The sequence below is a fragment of the Homo sapiens genome, chromosome 1, assembly GCF_000001405.40.
Source record: "Homo sapiens chromosome 1, GRCh38.p14 Primary Assembly".
NCBI lineage: Eukaryota > Metazoa > Chordata > Mammalia > Primates > Hominidae > Homo > Homo sapiens.
The window spans coordinates 93,468,397-93,484,921 of NC_000001.11; the positions used below are offsets into that span (position 1 = coordinate 93,468,397).

General features: G+C 39.2%; 1 protein-coding gene across 3 annotated transcripts in view, besides 1 other annotated feature; it reads left to right on the plus strand.

Moving 5' to 3' along the window:
• FNBP1L (formin binding protein 1 like) overlaps window positions 1-16,525 on the plus strand; it is a 106,544-nt gene that overhangs the window by 20,279 nt on the left and 69,740 nt on the right. The window lies entirely within an intron of this gene.
• Window positions 11,093-11,293: a silencer, noted in NCBI's record as "peak323 fragment used in MPRA reporter construct". NCBI's record gives its function as "represses an SCP1 promoter by STARR-seq MPRAs in K562 erythroleukemia cells {active_cell/tissue: K562}" and the evidence as "EXISTENCE:reporter gene assay evidence [ECO:0000049][PMID:32103011]".

Here is a 16,525-nt window from a genome sequence, read left to right on the forward strand (position 1 = left end):
CTGCTGTGTGCTGTGAACATTAACGGACAAATTTTTCTTTCTGTGTTTCTTGGAGACAGGGTCTCGCTCTGTCATCCAGGCTGGAGTGCAGTGGCACAGTCTTGGCTCACTGCAGCCTCGACTTCCTGGGTTCAAGCGATCCTCCCACCTCAGCACCCCATGTAGCTGGGACCACAGGCACGTGCCATGACGCCTGGCTAATTTTTATATTTTTGGTAGAGATGGGGTTTTGCCATGTTGCCCAGGCTGGTCTTAAACTCCTGGGCTCAAGCAGTCTGCCTGCCTCGGCCTCTCAAAGTGCTAGGATTACAGGTGTAAGCCACTACACCTGGCCCGATGGACAAGTTTTTGTGTGTATATATTTTTCTTTCTCTTGGGTATATACTTAACAGTAGAATTGTTGAGTCATATGGTAACTCTATTTTTAACCATTTTAGGAACTCCCAGACTATTTTGCATTTTATATTACCACCAGGAATGTGTGAGAGTCCTGATTTCTGTATATCCTTGCCAACGGTTGATATCATCTGAATTTTTGGTTATAGCCATCATAATTAGATATAAAGTAGTATCTTATTGTGGTTTTGATTTACATTTACTTGATGACAAATAATATTGAGCATCTTTTCTTGTGCTTATTGTTCATTTGTATATCTTTCCTAAAGAAATACCTGCTTACCTCAGTTAACTTTTTTTTTTATATTTATACTTTAAGTTCTAGGGTACATGTGCACAACATGCAGGTTTGTTACATAGGTATACATGTGCCATGTTGGTTTGCTGCACCCATCAACTTGTCATTTACATTAGATATTTCTCCTAACATTATTCCTCCCCTAACCCCCCACCCCCCAACAGGCCCCAGTGTGTGATGTTCCCCTCCCTGTGTCCATGTGTTCTCATTGTTCAACTCCTACTTATGAGTGAGAGCATGCAGTGTTTGGTTTTCTGTCCTTGCGATAGTTTGCTGAGAATGATGGTTTCCAGCTTCATCCATGTCTCTGCAAAGGACATGAACTCATCCTTTTTCATGGCTGCATAGTATATTCCATGGTGTATATGTGCCACATTATCTTTATCCAGTCTATTATTGATGGACATTTGGGTTGGTTTGAAGTCTTTGTTATTGTGAATAGTGCCGCAATAAACATACGTGTGCATGTGTCTTTATAGTAGCATGATTTATAATCCTTTGTTACCTTAGTTAACTTTTAAGTATGAATGTTCACCATAAATTTCTGTGGTAGTATGTACTAGTAAACTATAAATAAAAACTAATATTGATGGCAGTGGTACTGTTTAAGAAAAGGAAAAATTGCCAGGCAGGAACTCAGGAGGCTGAGGCGGGAGGATCACTTGAGGCCAGGAGTTTGAGATCAGCCTGGGCAATATAGCAAGATCTTGTCTCTAAGAAAATAAAAATAAAAAAATTAGCCTGACATGGTGGTGCACACTTGTCGTTCCAGCTACTTGGGATCACTTGAGCCTGGGAATTCAAGGTTACAGTGAGCTATGATCATGTCACTGCACCACTGCAGTCTGGGCAACAGAGTGAGACTCTGACTCTTAAAAGAAAAAAAGAAAAGGAAAAATGTAATTGTGGTGTTAAAGTACCATATTTGTCCTTGATATTCCTCCCTGAACTTGCCAGCCACTCTTTTATACTGAGATGTTTGGTTTTGGCATTAATTTAAGAAACTTAAAATCTAAGTGTGAATGTTAGCTATGCTCTCTTTTCTTTCTTTATTTTTTTTTGAGATGGGTCTAGCTCTGTTGCCCAGGCTGGAGTATAGTGATGCTGTCATAGCACAGTAACCTCAAACTCCTGGGCTCAAGTGAGCATCCTATCTTAGCCTCCAGAGTAGCTGGGACTACAGGTGTGTGCCACCAAGCCCAGCTAATTTTTTTGTGTGTGGATACAGGGTCTCTTTATGTTGCCCAAGCTGGTCTTAAACTCCTGGGCTCAAGCAGTCATTCTGCCTTGGCCTCCTAAAGTGCTGGGATTACAGGCATGAGCCATCACACTCAGCCTTGTCTGTTACTTTTTAAAAGAAACTTTTCCACTAATTGGCTCTCCAGTTGGCTTGCTTCTCTTGTCTCTGACTATGGATGGGAGTCTTTGTTGTTGTATAAGTAGAAAGCTTTCTTATGTTGTTAGATGTCAATAGTTTCAGATATGAAAGTCCAGGAAATGGGCCAGGCACGGTGGCTCAGACCTGTAATCCTAGCACTTTGGGAGGCCGAGGCGGGCGAATCACCTGAGGTCAGGAGTTCAAGATTAGCCTGGCCAACATGGTGAAACCCCATCTCTACTAAACATATAAAAATTGGCCAGGCGTCATGGTGCATGCCTGTAATCCCAGCTATTCGGGAGGCTGAGGCAGGAGAATGGCGTGAACCCGGGAGGCAGAGCTTGCAGTGAGCAGAGATCGTGCCACTGCACTGCAGCCTGGGTGACAGAGCGAGACTCCATCTCAAAAAAAAAAAAAAAAAGTCCAGGAAATGTGGGGTCTTAGGTAATGAAAATCTTCTGCATAATTCAAACAGGACTTTAGAATTCGATTAGTTTCTATAACTAAGATATTTTGGCTGTTCTTTGGTAATATCTAAGAAGAATAATTGCAATATTATTCTTTTTTAGTGATGCAAAATTACAAATACTGCAGTGGTACTTATTTACTCATTTATATTGTAGCTACAAGTTGAGTGTTCCTTATCCAAAATGCTTAGGACCAGAAGATTTTAATATTTTGGATTATTTTTGGATTTTTTGGAATACTTTCATTTTATTTACTGGTTGAGCATTCCTAATCAGAAATGTTCATTGGAGCATTTCCTTTGAGCATCATGCTGTCACTCAAAAACTTTTGGATTTTGGAATGTTTCAGATTTTGGAGCATTTCAGATTAGGGATGCTCAATCTGTGGAACGTTAGTTTATGTTAAAGCTACATTTTTGTTTTTATTTTGCTTAGTGTTTTGACTTAATCATCTATGTTAAGAACCTAATTCTTATCCAGGCACTGTAGCGCATGCCTGAAATTCCAGCACTTTGGGAGGCCAAGGTGGGCAGATGGCTTGAGCCCAGGAGTTCAAGACTAGCCTAGGCAACATTGCAAGACCCTGTTTCCACAAAAAATACAAAAATTAGCTGGGCGTGGTGGTGTGTGCCTGTAGTCCCCGCTACTCGGGAGCCTAAGGTGAGAGGATTGCTTGAGCCGGGGAGGTGGAGCCTGCAGTGAGCTGTGATTGCACCACTGCACTCCAGCCTGGGTGACCAGAGTGAGACCCTGCCTCAAAAAACAAAAGCAAAACCAAAAACCTAATTCTTTTTTATTTATCCTCATTGTTTCTTGCTTGGGTGAAAATGTTGGTTCATTTCTTTGTTCAACTTCTGGCTGGTAGTCGATAAGTTAGTCATTTGTTTTGTGTATTTTATACCTTTTAAACATCAGCAACAACTTTTTATTTCAGTTGGCCTTTGGCTTGGAGAGTCTAATAATAACATTAATTTATGGGGGTGTTGGGTGGGCAGCAGTTTATAGTTTTTTAAGACTTCATTGATTATTGTGATTCTTGCCTGTCTGAGAAATGGTGCTGTTAATTAGCAGTACAGAAATCTGGACAATCATTAGAATCATGTAGAGAATTTAAAGGCAGTAACAACCATACTCCCTAACCCTACTCTAATCTCTTGAATCAGATCTCTGGAATGAGGCCCAGAAATTTGTGTTTTTTGAAAACACTCCAAATGATTCTGACAGTACCAAGGTTTGAGAACCATTGGTTTATGTACTCTAAAATCTTTACTTAAGTCAGGGAATTAGAAATCTCCTTGTTCTTGGACTGAGTCATATTCCCTTTTTACTCCTATTAAATTGATTTCACGAATACTACTACTAATCTAATGATTTTTGAATACTTAAGCAGTGCATTTCACATTTTTGGGTTCAGAGAGATTAAGTATCTTGTCTAAAACTACTTCATAGTAAGTGGCAGAGTGATATAAATTCAGATATTTCTGTATCCAGAGCCCTTATTCTTTACCATGAATATTATACTACCTTTTATTGAATTTTGTTGAGAAGGCAGCCATCAGTGTATGTGCAGAGAGATTATTAAAAAAAAAATCCTCGGCCGGGCGTGGTGGCTTATGCCTGTAATCCCAGAACTTTGGGAGGCTGAGGTGGGTGGATCACGAGGTCAGGAGATTGAGACCATCCTGGCTAACACAGTGAAACCCCGTCTGTACTAAAAATACAAAAAATTAGCCAGGCGTGTTGGCGGGCGCCTGTAGTTCCAGCTACTCGGGAGGCTGAGGCAGGAGAATAGTGTGAACCCGGGAGGCGGAGCTTGCAGTGAGCCGAGATTGCGCCACTGCACTCCAGCCTGGGCGACAGAGCAAGACTCCATCTCAAAAAAAAAAAAAAAAAAAAAAAAAAAAAAAAAAAAATCCTAACAGTTTGTTAGTTTACCATAAAGCTGTTAAGAATATTGCTGATTGCATTATCGTGCTATTCTCTGTGGGACTCATGGAAGAAATTACTCTTTAGCTTTTTTATAGTATAGAAACTGCGTTTTGTATGACTGTTTATGTTTCTCATTTTGCACTTGCTGCTAGAAAACTTAAAGTCAGATTTCTGGTTCACTGTTAGCAAATGTATAGGATTTTTTGTCTGCATTTTGTTTACAAATTTTATTCTTAGTATCATCTTAGATTTGTCTATTTCTTTTTTTCATCTCTTTTATAATTATTGTATCTTGCTCTGTTATCTTTATGTTGCTTTAGATGGAAGTGTAAAGTAATTAACAAGTGATTTTGAACCATTTTATTTTATTCTGGTCAAAAATCTTTCTGAAAGATTTTTGAATTTGGGCAAGAAAGGATCTTATAATTTGGAACATTATCTGTGTGCCAAGCACTTTGCTAGATGTTCTTTTATTTTTTATTTTACTTTCATGCCGGCTCTGCGAGATAAGTAGTGGTATTCCCATTTTACAGAAGGTGAAACTTAAGGTTAACTTTTGTCATGTAAAGCTAAACTCTGATCTAGATTTGTGTGACTCCAAAACTTTTTTTATATGCCTCTAATGGATGTAATTTACCTAGAGATTTATTAATCCTCTAGTGGGGGTCGTTTCCATCTTCAACAAGCATTTATAAAATACTTTATAGAAAGCACTGTGCCTAGTTCTGGGTATACATCCCCAACTGCCTTGTAGAAATTGCTACACTGGATAGGATGTCTTAACTTGAGCTTAACGTGTATTTGAACAGACATTTGTATTAGTCTGTGGTCCTGGTAGGAAACAGTACTCAAAAGGCTTAACTGAGGAGTTTTAAATAAACTTTTTATAAAGGTGTGGGCCTGGTCTGTGGAGCCAGCAGTGGTGGATGGTGCATTACCCTAGAGCTAGTAACAGTTGGGAGCTGCTAGTAGTTAGGCCTTAAGGGCAAGGAGAGGCATTGGTTACTAGCCCCCTAAGCAGTAGCTGTAGGCAGAAAGGGCTGCGTGACGGGATCTATGGCCTTTAGTAGGGGAATATAGGAAATTTACAGCAGAGTGGTGGAGGAATAAAAACTTGGATTTCTAATCCTAGTACTTTGGGAGGCCGAGGCTGGTGGATCACCTGAGGTCAGGAGTTCAAGACCAACCTGGCCAACATCGTGAAACGCCATCTCTACTAAAAATACAAAAATTAGCGGGTGTGGTGGTGCATGCCTGTAATTCTAGCTACTCAGGAGGTGGAGACAGGAGAATTGCTTGAACCGGAAGGCGGAGGTTGCAGTGAGCTGAGATCACGCCACTGCACTCCAGCCTGGGTGACAAAGTGAGACTCCGTCTCAAAAAAAACAAAAACAAAAACTTTGACTTCACTTCCATCCTACTTCAGGATGCCTCCAATCGACTGAACCAAAGGATAAGTTAGAGGGCAAGGGAAACCATTGATAATAGTCTGTTGGGGCCCAGAGAAGTGTTGATGAAAGAAAGAGAGTGATTCTGGAGGAGGAAAGAGAGCACAGACAGGGCCCTTACTCCGAAGATAAGTATTGAGATAAGATAAGCAGGGAAGATAAGTATTGAGCAAATTACTACAAGTGTGATGAGAGCTGTGGAAACTTAGAATAGACGTGCCTAGCCTGAGAAGGCTTCTCTGTGGAATGTTCTTCACACATCCTGGTTCTTTTGAAACAAAACAGGCCCCTTCTACAGAGATTCTGATTTACTAGGTCTGGAGAGTATATATTTTAAAAATCCTACCCAGGTTATTTTGTCAATCATTTCTTAGAGTTAGAGAGAGGCCATAATGCTGGGGCTTAGAGGTTCAGGGAAAGAATGATGTGAGATGAAGCTAGAGAGATGATGGCCAGAGCCTATAAGCCATTCTTGTTTTTTTGTTTTTAAGTTACCTTACTAAATAACTACATCCTAACTTCTTCTGCCTCTTTTCACTGTAGTTCTCATTCTCACACCTAGCTTCTTTTCTTTGATGTCTTGTTATGAACCTCCAATTCCTTAGTAGGAGATATATATATCAAGGAAACTGGAGAAATAAAAGTGATAACAGTAGCACTGTGTCATGATAACTGAATTCTAAAGCTTGTTCATTTCCAGTAGAGAACTAGAGCCAAGGTCATTTTGTATTTTTTTTTTAAGTGAACAGAATCTGAAGTGACTTCTTCTTTTTTGAGTTTTTCTTGATGTCTAGAATGATGATACACATACAACTAAAAAACTATGAGACATGCAAAATATATAGAGCTGCAGTTTGCAATGAAAGAAGTAAAATATACTCCTAACTTTTAGAAACTAAAGATTCAAGCTTTACATATTCTGAAAATATATAATAAAAAATTTTATTATTTAAAATACATTTAGGCCAGGTGCAGTGGCTCATGCCTATAATTTCAGCACTTTGGGAGGCCAAGGTGGGAGGATCACTTGAGGCCAGAAGCAACGTAGAGAGACACCTTCGTCTAAAAAAATACAAAAAAATTAGGCAGGGTGGTGCGTGCCTGTGGTCCCAGCTATTTGGGAGGCTGAGGTGGGAGGATCACTTGAGCCTGGGAGGTCGAGGCTGCAGTGAGCTGTGGTTGTGCCACTGCACTCCAGCCTAGGTGACTGAGTGAGACCCTGTCTCAAAAAAACTCCCAAAACAAAAACCAAACTCCTTATCTCCACCACTCAGTACACATCACATGCATGTAATAAAGAGATACTCTGAGCCAATCATCACATTTCATGAAATATTTTGCATAAGTGTAAATGTTAGATAAATAAGCTGTAAACATAAAAATCAATTAACATAACTTGTAAAGGATAAAAACTGCTATTCATAAGAAATTATGCATGAGAGTAGTTGTAAAATAATAACAAAATAATCATTATTAACAGCTTTAAGTATTTGAATTATTCTGTTTACTAAAAGGAAACATAAAGTAAGGTTGCCTGTTACTAACTTTACAGAGTTGTGAAATATAATTGTGAAATCAGAAATTCTTACTGGTAGTTTTATATATGAAAATGGCTGATTTCTACATATTCTGTGTTTTGTTACCCGACTCAATTTTGTTTTTTTAATAGTTTTTTGGCCAGTTTTCTTGAGTTTTTGAGATTTTGCAGGTACAAGGTCTGCAAGTAGCAATATGTTTATATTTTCCTTTTGCAATGTTTATACCTCCAATTTCTTTCTCTTGTTTAATTTCATTGGTATGTTAGTGCATTAAAACATCATGTGAAATATTGGACTGAACACCAACATTGCGATAGTAATGTACAAATGATATGTAACTGATTCTATGTTCAATTAAAGTATTTATTCAGCTCTTAGTAGACTGTAAACTCTTAAGTGTAGAATCTGCTTTTAATTCTTTGTATCTTCCATCTAGTCCAGTGTCATTTACTAGCTGGTAAACCCTGAGCCTTACTTTCCATGTTTGTATAATAATAGGAGTAATTACGCCTACTCTCAAGGAGAGATTAAATGAGATAATATATAAAAGCACTCAACACAGTGCTTGGCACTGGTGGCAGTTATTATTATTCATTTAATTCAACAAATAATTGAATGTTAACCTAAGGATAGGGATATTATGTGAACAAAAATATCCTTATGTTTTTGGTATGGTGGAAAGAGAGCTATTAATCAGATAGTTGCATAGAGGGGTAAGTAAGTAAAATTCTGTAAGATGATATCAGCATAAAAACATAACCCACCACTAAGTTCAGCAAGGGTGTCCTGTGGAAAAGATTGTAACAGAGATCTGAAAAATGGTTAGGAGATAATAGGTGTGTGTGAGTGGGCAGAGGGGGGGAGTTCAGAAAAAAGATGTAGCATGTGCAAATACTCTTAAACAGGAGGGTGTCTTTCTCAATGAAAAATGAAACAAACAAAAAAAATCCATTGTAGCCAGAGCAAAACAGACACAGAGAAAGATGTGTTACTGAAGTTGATAAGGTGACCACCATTCACAGGACACTTACCATATTAGTTCGTTTAATCCTTCCAGTCATTTAAGATACATAAATTGACATCTCTCCATTTTACTAATGATGAAACAAGGCAGAGAAGTTAAATGGCTTGCCCAAGGTGACACAGCTAATAAATGGCAGAGTCTATATTTGAACACAGGCAGCCTAGATACAGAATCAGTGCCCGTAATATTTGTACCATATTGCCTGACATGCTCACTTGCATTTTGAAAAGATCACTTTAACTACAATGTGAAAAATAGATTAGAGGATAATTAGAAAGCACACTGAGAGATCAGTCAAGAGGCTATTGCAGTATTAAACAAATGGTAATTGTAGCTTGGAGTAGAATGATGGCAATAGAGATACAGGGTAGTAGATGGCTAATTATTACAAAGTGAGTGTATCCTGTGTGAATAAATGAAAAACGAATGAATGAGCTGAGACACATGTATAATATGGCAGTGTGCTGTCTTACTGTACAGTGTTTATAAGCAACAACTGCTGAATTATCTGTTGGAATAAAAACGAGGTGAATGTAAACCTATTTAGATTTGTGTTACCACCAACTAAGGTTTTTGTCTTAAATAGATGGTAGAAAAATGTGTTAATCTATAAAATAGTAGCTTGTATATGTTCATTCTGCAAACTTTCGGGTGCACTTGATGCTGTAAAGCTCTTCTATTTCTCATTAGACCTTTAAATACTCTTCAGCACAAAAATGAATTGTAGTACAAAGCTATTACTGCTTCTCAGAAAATGAAGAATGCTCTAAAGATAAATATAAATGAATTAAAAGGAAGAGATTATTCACTCTAAAATTGAAAATCATAACCTTCCTGAACAGTAAAGGCAGATAAGCAGAATAAATACTTGAGTCTAATTTGAAAAATCCATATTTCTATTTCAGATGTCCTACTATAACCATACCCTGCATTAGTGCATTTTGTGGTTAAAACATTTTTATTCCAGAAAGCTAAAAGATGTAATAAGATACAATAATTGTTTTTAATTCTGCCTTTTCTGTTTCTTTAACAGTCCTCTTACTTTCTATAATTGTGAGTACCATCGATAGACACAGACTAATTCTGTGTTAGAAATAAACTTTATTTTTTAAAATGTCTGGAACACACACAGATTCACTTTGGTTGTAGAATAAGCAAACTGTGAATAATTCACACTGTGAAAACTGTGTGAATTAAGAATCTTTCCAGTTAGGGATAAATGGGGAACTGATAGTTCAAGAATGTAAATCAGAATTTAAAGTGAATAGGAGGAACTTTCCCTTCTCTCTTTTACCCTCTGAGCAATTGAAGTGAGGCTCAGCATGGTTGATGTCTTTGGTGTTGGAAGCTGCGATGGTCTAGAGCAGGGTATCAGAACCTGGGTCTTGAGGAGTGTAGGAGGTGGCCTGGAATGGTAAGTCAGAGCCTAAGCAGAGAGAGAGAGAGGACAGCCTCCATGTGAGAGGATGGCAGACTCAGTGTAGGGTATCAGAGCATGAATGGGATAAGGAGGATGACCATTTGGGAGAGTAGAAAGAGTGGCAGCTATAACCCATTGCAGTGTGTTGGAGCCTAAGTGGAATGATGAGGGCATCCTGTGCAGGAGGGCAGCCAGCCTCAGGATAGTAGAACCCAGGTGGAGAGGGGGGCAGTCCATGCAGACAGCAGCACAGTGGCATCAGCTTGATGGAGAGTGTTAGAGTAGGGGGCAGCAGTGGCAGTCTAATAAGGTATGAAGCCTTGAGTACAGTAAAGAGGGTACCTGTATGTAGCCATGGTGGCAATGAGAGACTGATTACTACCTGCTGGAGATTGTTTTAAGTGAGTTAATATATTAAGGATAAAGGGAGCCAGGTTTTTTGACTGTTGGAGAAGGAAATTACAAATATTGAAAGGTGTTGGTGTTAGATTGGAATTGGAGATATTGGTGTAAACTCATGGTATAGATAGATGGATAGATGTAGAAATAAAGAGGTAAATGTTTGGTAAGTTTAATTCGGACTCAGGTCTTCTTTAATTCACACAGTCACATTGACAAGGAAGATACTTAATGATTTGACACATCCTGAGGTTTGCTTTCTAAAAGGCAGCCATTTAAACTTAAAGCAAAATTTGTACATCAAAATTTGTAACTCTTCTAAATCTTATCCCTTATTGGGGGAACCCACCCCAATATTTCAACGTAGGTTCTTTCTATTTTCCCTGTCGGCCGGTCTGAGAAATAGAAAGAGTACAAAGAGAGGAATTTTACAGCTGGGCCGCTGGGGGTGACATCACATATCGGTAGGTCCATGATGCCTACCTGATCCCCAAAACCAGCAGGTTTTTATTAAGGACTTCAAAAGGGGAGGGGGTGTACGAACAGGGAGTAAGTCACAAAGATCACATGCTTCAAAGGGCAAAAAGAGAACAAAGATCACATGCTTCTGAGGAAACAGGGCAAGGACAAAAGCAAAGATAACAAGGCAAAGGGCAAAATTAGAATTACTGATGAGGGTGTGTGTTCAGCTGTGCACGTATTATCTTGATAAATATCTTAAACAACAGAAAACAGCGTTCCAGAGCAGAGAACTGGTCTGACCTCAAATTCACCAGGGTGGGGTTTTTCCCCACTCTAGTGAGCCTGAGGGTACTGCAGGAGACCAGGGCGTATTTCAGTCCTTATCTCAACCACTAAGAAAGGCTCTAAGACAGGCACTCCCAGAGCAGCCGTTTATAGACCTCCCCCCAGGAATGCAATTCTTTTCCTTCCTAGGGTCTTAGTGTTATATTCCTTGCTAGGAAAAGAATTTAGCGATATCTCTCCTACTTGCACATTGATTTATAGGTTCTCTGCAAGAAGAAAAATATGGCTCTATTCTGCCCAACCCCGCAGGCAGTCAGACCTTATGGTTGTCTTCCCTTGTTCCCTGAAAATCGCTGTTATTCTGTTCTTTTTCAAGGTGCACTGATTTCATATTGTTCAAACACACGTTTTACAATCAGTTTGTACAATAGTGGTCCTGAGGTGACGTACATCCTCAGCTTACGAAGATAACAGGTTTAAGAGATTAAAGTAAGACAGGCATAAGAAATTATAAGAGTATTATTTGGGAACTGATAACTGTCCAGGAAATCTTCACAATTTATGTTCAGAGATTGAAGTAAAGACAGGCATAAGAAATTATGAGAGTATTATTAGGGAAGTGATAAATGTTCATGAAATCTTCACAATTTATGTTCCTCTGCCGCGGCTTCAGCTGGTCCCTCTGTTAGGGGTCCCTGACTTCCCACAACAATCCCTTTCCCCACAAAGCATGCAGTTCTTCATTTTATGATTTTACTGAACCTCAGAACAATTTAGTGAAGAGAACAATTTAACAAAGAGAAATGAGTAAACCTCTAGTGGCCACTTGTTCCATCCGCATACCAACCTAAGTCTGAATACCTTGGACACATCAACAATGCTGTTGTCTTTTTCTTGCCATAGCGAGTGGAAAGACTCTCCAAAAATTTTAACTTTCACAAATGACTTAATCTTTTGAGAACCCATTCCTCTATCTATAAAACCACCAACTTCATAGGGTTGTTGTGGGTGAAGATTAAATGAGAAATGCATGGAAATTTTCTCTAGACATTGATGCATTGGAGTGTGCTTCCCTTCAAGTGTCTTCCTACTTTCTTGCTGATGACTCTAGGGGTCCTGTAAGTTGGGTCTCTTAGAGTCTCTTAATTTTTTTTTTTTTAATTTTTTTTGAGAGGGACTCTGTCGCCCAGGCTGGAGTGCAGTGGCACAATCTTGGCTCACTGCAAGCTCCACCTCCTGGGTTCATGCCATTCTCCTGCCTAGAGGTGCCTGCCACCACGCCCGGCTAATTTTTTGTATTTTTAGTAGAGACGGGGTTTCACCGTGTTAGCCAGGATGGTTTCAATCTCCTGACCTCGTGATCCGCCTGCCTCGGCCTCCCAAAGTGCTGGGATTACAGGCGTGAGCCACTGTGCCTGGCTGAGTCTCTTAATTCTTAAGGAATCAATTTATTAAAATCTCTTCCACAGGTTTCTGTATTATAAAGTTGCCAGATTGTATCTCACATCTTCCAATTTGTGCAAGAGCAAATAATGGTTCGGGTAGAATTATGAAAAAAAAAATCATAATCCCAATCGCTTCCTCCAATGTATGATGTGATTAATCTTACTTGTGTTACCATAGACATTTTCCTGACAAATGCTCCAGCGGAAGAAGCACATAACCAATCAGCAGTTGAAACTTCCCCCCTTTTGATGTAGAGGTCCCTTTACAACACATAATCTCAGTGTTTCTATGTGTAGAACAAACTTCTTAATTTCTATATAAGCAGTTAGATAGGCCCCAGAGGTCCATGTGTGCTCCTTTTTTTTCCCTAAGGCTAAAAGTGTGAGGCAGCCATTTGTTGCATACTATTCCTTCAATATTTTAGTGAAAGCACACTTCATACCCAATCTTTATTATCACTATCAGCCTGTCAGTAATCAAATATATAGCTACTAAATGAAGAGTTGTAACTACTTAGTATTAACACCATAAGAAAGGAAAACAATATTGATGTCTGACATGTTTAAGGATGCTTAACAGGGAAAATTAAGGAGACTGGCCCATTAATTATGGGATAAAATAATAATAATCAAACATCTTAACTAGTTTATCAAGTCACACTTACAAGCCTCTTACTAATTTACTCCTGTACTGAAATGAACATACGGTAAAATTCAAGAGAAACTGAGGTTCAAAATAAATTTTACTTCTGAGCTTGGAATACAAGAGAGTAACAGACTGCTGTCCTAATTATAATACCTTTTTGACACATTGTTATAGTTCCTTGCCACCTCTGAATAAACTGTCCATTTCTACGTAATTGTTGGTCATTCTTATCAATCCTTTTTGAAAGTAGATGAGAAATTTTTTAAAAATTGGGAAAAAAAGGAAAGTGTTGGTCTGTATTTAGGTAAAATTTCAGTCTGTTGCATTTGAATAAAAATCTGCCAAAGGCTGGGCACAGTGGCTCACACCTGTAATCCCAGCACTTTGGGAGGCTGAGGCCAGAGGATCACTTGAGCCCAGGAGTTTGAGACCAGACTGGGCAACATGGCGAAACCCCATCTCCACTAAAAATGCAAAAAATAGCCAGTTGTAGTAGCGTGTACCTGTAGTCCCAGCTACTCGGGGGGCTGAGGTGGGAGGAGGATCACTGAGGCCAGGAGGTGGAGGCTGCAGTGAGCCGTGATCACATCACTGCACTCCAGCCTGGGCAACACAGTGAGACCCTGTCTCAAAAATAAATAAATAAGTAAAAAATAAATAAATCTACCAAATAAACACAAGCACAACCCAAAAAATTTTTTTGTTTGCCTTATTTTCATTTCTTCTTAGCTGCTAAACTTCGTCTATGTGTGTACTTTTCTCCTAGTATATCTGTTAATTATTACTGTAAACATATGATTTATTTCACATTAGCAAAAAGAAATCATTCTTTTTCCATTTAGAGCCATTTTATGTAAATGTTAAAGGTCAAGTTAAGAATTTTAATAGTTTTTCTTTAAATTTTTTTATAAATATGCTTGTAAGTACTTCATGTGCAGTATAAGGTTCGCTCTAGTGCTCTTTTAGGAGTAAAAATAAGAATCGTTCTTGAAATGAAGTTATTTTTAAAAGTCTGAAATTATGTATTCATTTACAATACTGTGCATGGTAATGATTTATTGAAATGAAAGCTAGTAGCAGGCCAGACACAGTGGCTCACACCTGTAATCCTACCACTTTGAGAGGCTGAGGCAGGCAGATTGCTTGAGCCCAGGAGTTCAAGACTAGCCTGGGCAACATGGTGAAACCCCTCTCTCTACAAAAAATACAAAAACTTAGTGGCTCACGCCTGTAATCCCAGCACTTTGGGAGGCCGAGGTGGGTGGATCATGAGGTCAGGAGATCGAGACCATCCTGACTAACACGGTGAAACCCCGTCTCTACTAAAAATACAAAAATTAGCCAGGCGTGGTCGCGGGCGCCTGTAGTCCCAGCTACTCAGGAGGCTGAGGCAGGAGAATGGCTTGAACCCAGGAGGCGGAGCTTGCAGTGAGCCGAGATCGTGCCACTGCAGTCCAGCCTGGACGACAGAGCAAGACTCCGTCTAAAAAAAACAAAAAAAACAAAAAACAAAAAGTAGCCAAGCATGGTATCACACTCCTGTAGTCCCAGCTACTCAGGTGAGAGGACCACTTCAGCCCAGAAAGGTGGTGATGCTGTGGTGAGCTGTGATGGTGCCACTGCACTCTGGCCTAGGCAACAGAGTGAGACCCTGTCTCGAAAAAAAAAAAAAAAAAAAAAGAAAGGAAAGCTAGTAGCAACCACCCTACCGGGTCACAGGCAAGTTTTCGATGTTGAATAAAGAATTATATAGAGTCAATATGAAAAGGACAAAATTTAATGTGCCACTAATGGTGCCTAGTTTATGTTGATGTGCAGGAGAATTCATTTACTTAATCATTTCCGTTTTACTCAGTGCCTCCCACCAGTATTACAGTCACAGTAAGTCATGAAAGAATAAACCACAGCCTAAATTATTCATATATATGTTCAGAGTATTGCTGTTTTGGATCATGGAGACTTCTGATTAAATTATTATGCATCTATCTATTATATGAAATTGACTACATTAATCATAATTTCTTAATCCTAAATATTAAGATTTTTCAATATTATGGATAAAAATGAACCATAAGAGTTCTGTCTAGATCAGTGTTGCTTCTTCCAAAATATAATAGACCATATATAGATAAAACTAAATTATCTCAATATTTAACCATAATTATATGCTAAGAATAGTATGAGGTCACTCTTTGGAGTTATTCCCATGAATATACCAAGAACTAAGTATTCCTTCAGATTAGATTAGAGCCAGAAAGCCTATTTGCTTTCCAAATAATAAATAGTCTTAGAGAATTTACTTAAGTGAACTGATTTAAAGCATCAACACAAGGGAACAAAGCTAATTAAGTCAAGACATCTGCATCATTGATTTAGCTGTTTCTTAACTCTGTTACTTTGTGCAAATAGTTTATTGAGATGGAGTCTCTCTCTGTTGCCCAGGCCAGAGTGCAGTGATGTGATCTTGGCTCACCACAACTTCTGCCTCCTGGGTTCAAGCAATTCTCCTGCCTCAGCCTCCTGAGTAGCTGGGACTACAGGCGTGCGCCACCATGCCCGGCTAATTTTTGTATTTTTAGTAGAGATGGGGTTTCACTATGTTGGGCAGGCTGGTCTCAAACTCCTGACCTTGTGATCCTCCCGCCTTGGCCTCCCAAAGTGCTGGGATTACAGGCGTGAGCCACCACGCCTGGCTGGGCAAATAGTTTCATCTTGAGGCTTCAGTTTCCTCATCTGTAAATAGAGACTGATCTTTGAAGTCTCTTCTAGCTGTAAAGGCCTATGATTAGATTTCATACTTAAACATTGCAGTCACCAAGTAGATTGAGTCTCAGAAAGGGAAAAGGGGAAAACAGACTAGAGTAAAATGGAAAGTGAGCCCAATGAGAAGCCAAGAAATCAGAGAGAGATGGTGCAAAGGGATGCTTAGCCCTGTTCTAGAGAATTTTCATGTTAAAAATATGAGTGCCTATACACAAAGACTAGTTCTGTTCTTGAATCCCCTGTTCGCTAATTATGTTCTCTGATGTCAGGATAAAATGTCAGCACAGGGGGACCAAACTGTGTTGCTAATTGGTGTGAGGGTAGAGGAACTCCTGGCAGGAAGTAGTCTAGGTTGGTAGGTAGCAGGGATAACTATGGAAGCAAATGACTTGAGAATCTGAGCAAAGGCTAAACAGTATAACATAAAGAAAACTAGATTTAAAATAGTTAATCTTAAACTCTAGTTATGGTGTTAACCCTAACTACTGAATGACCCTGGGCTCAAGTTTGAGATGTTGGGAGGCAGAGCAGTGCTGAACAATAGAGAGGCTAATGTCAAACAGAAGTGAAAGACAGCTCCTGGGAGGAATGGCTCACACCTGTAATCAAGCACTTTGGGAGGCCAAG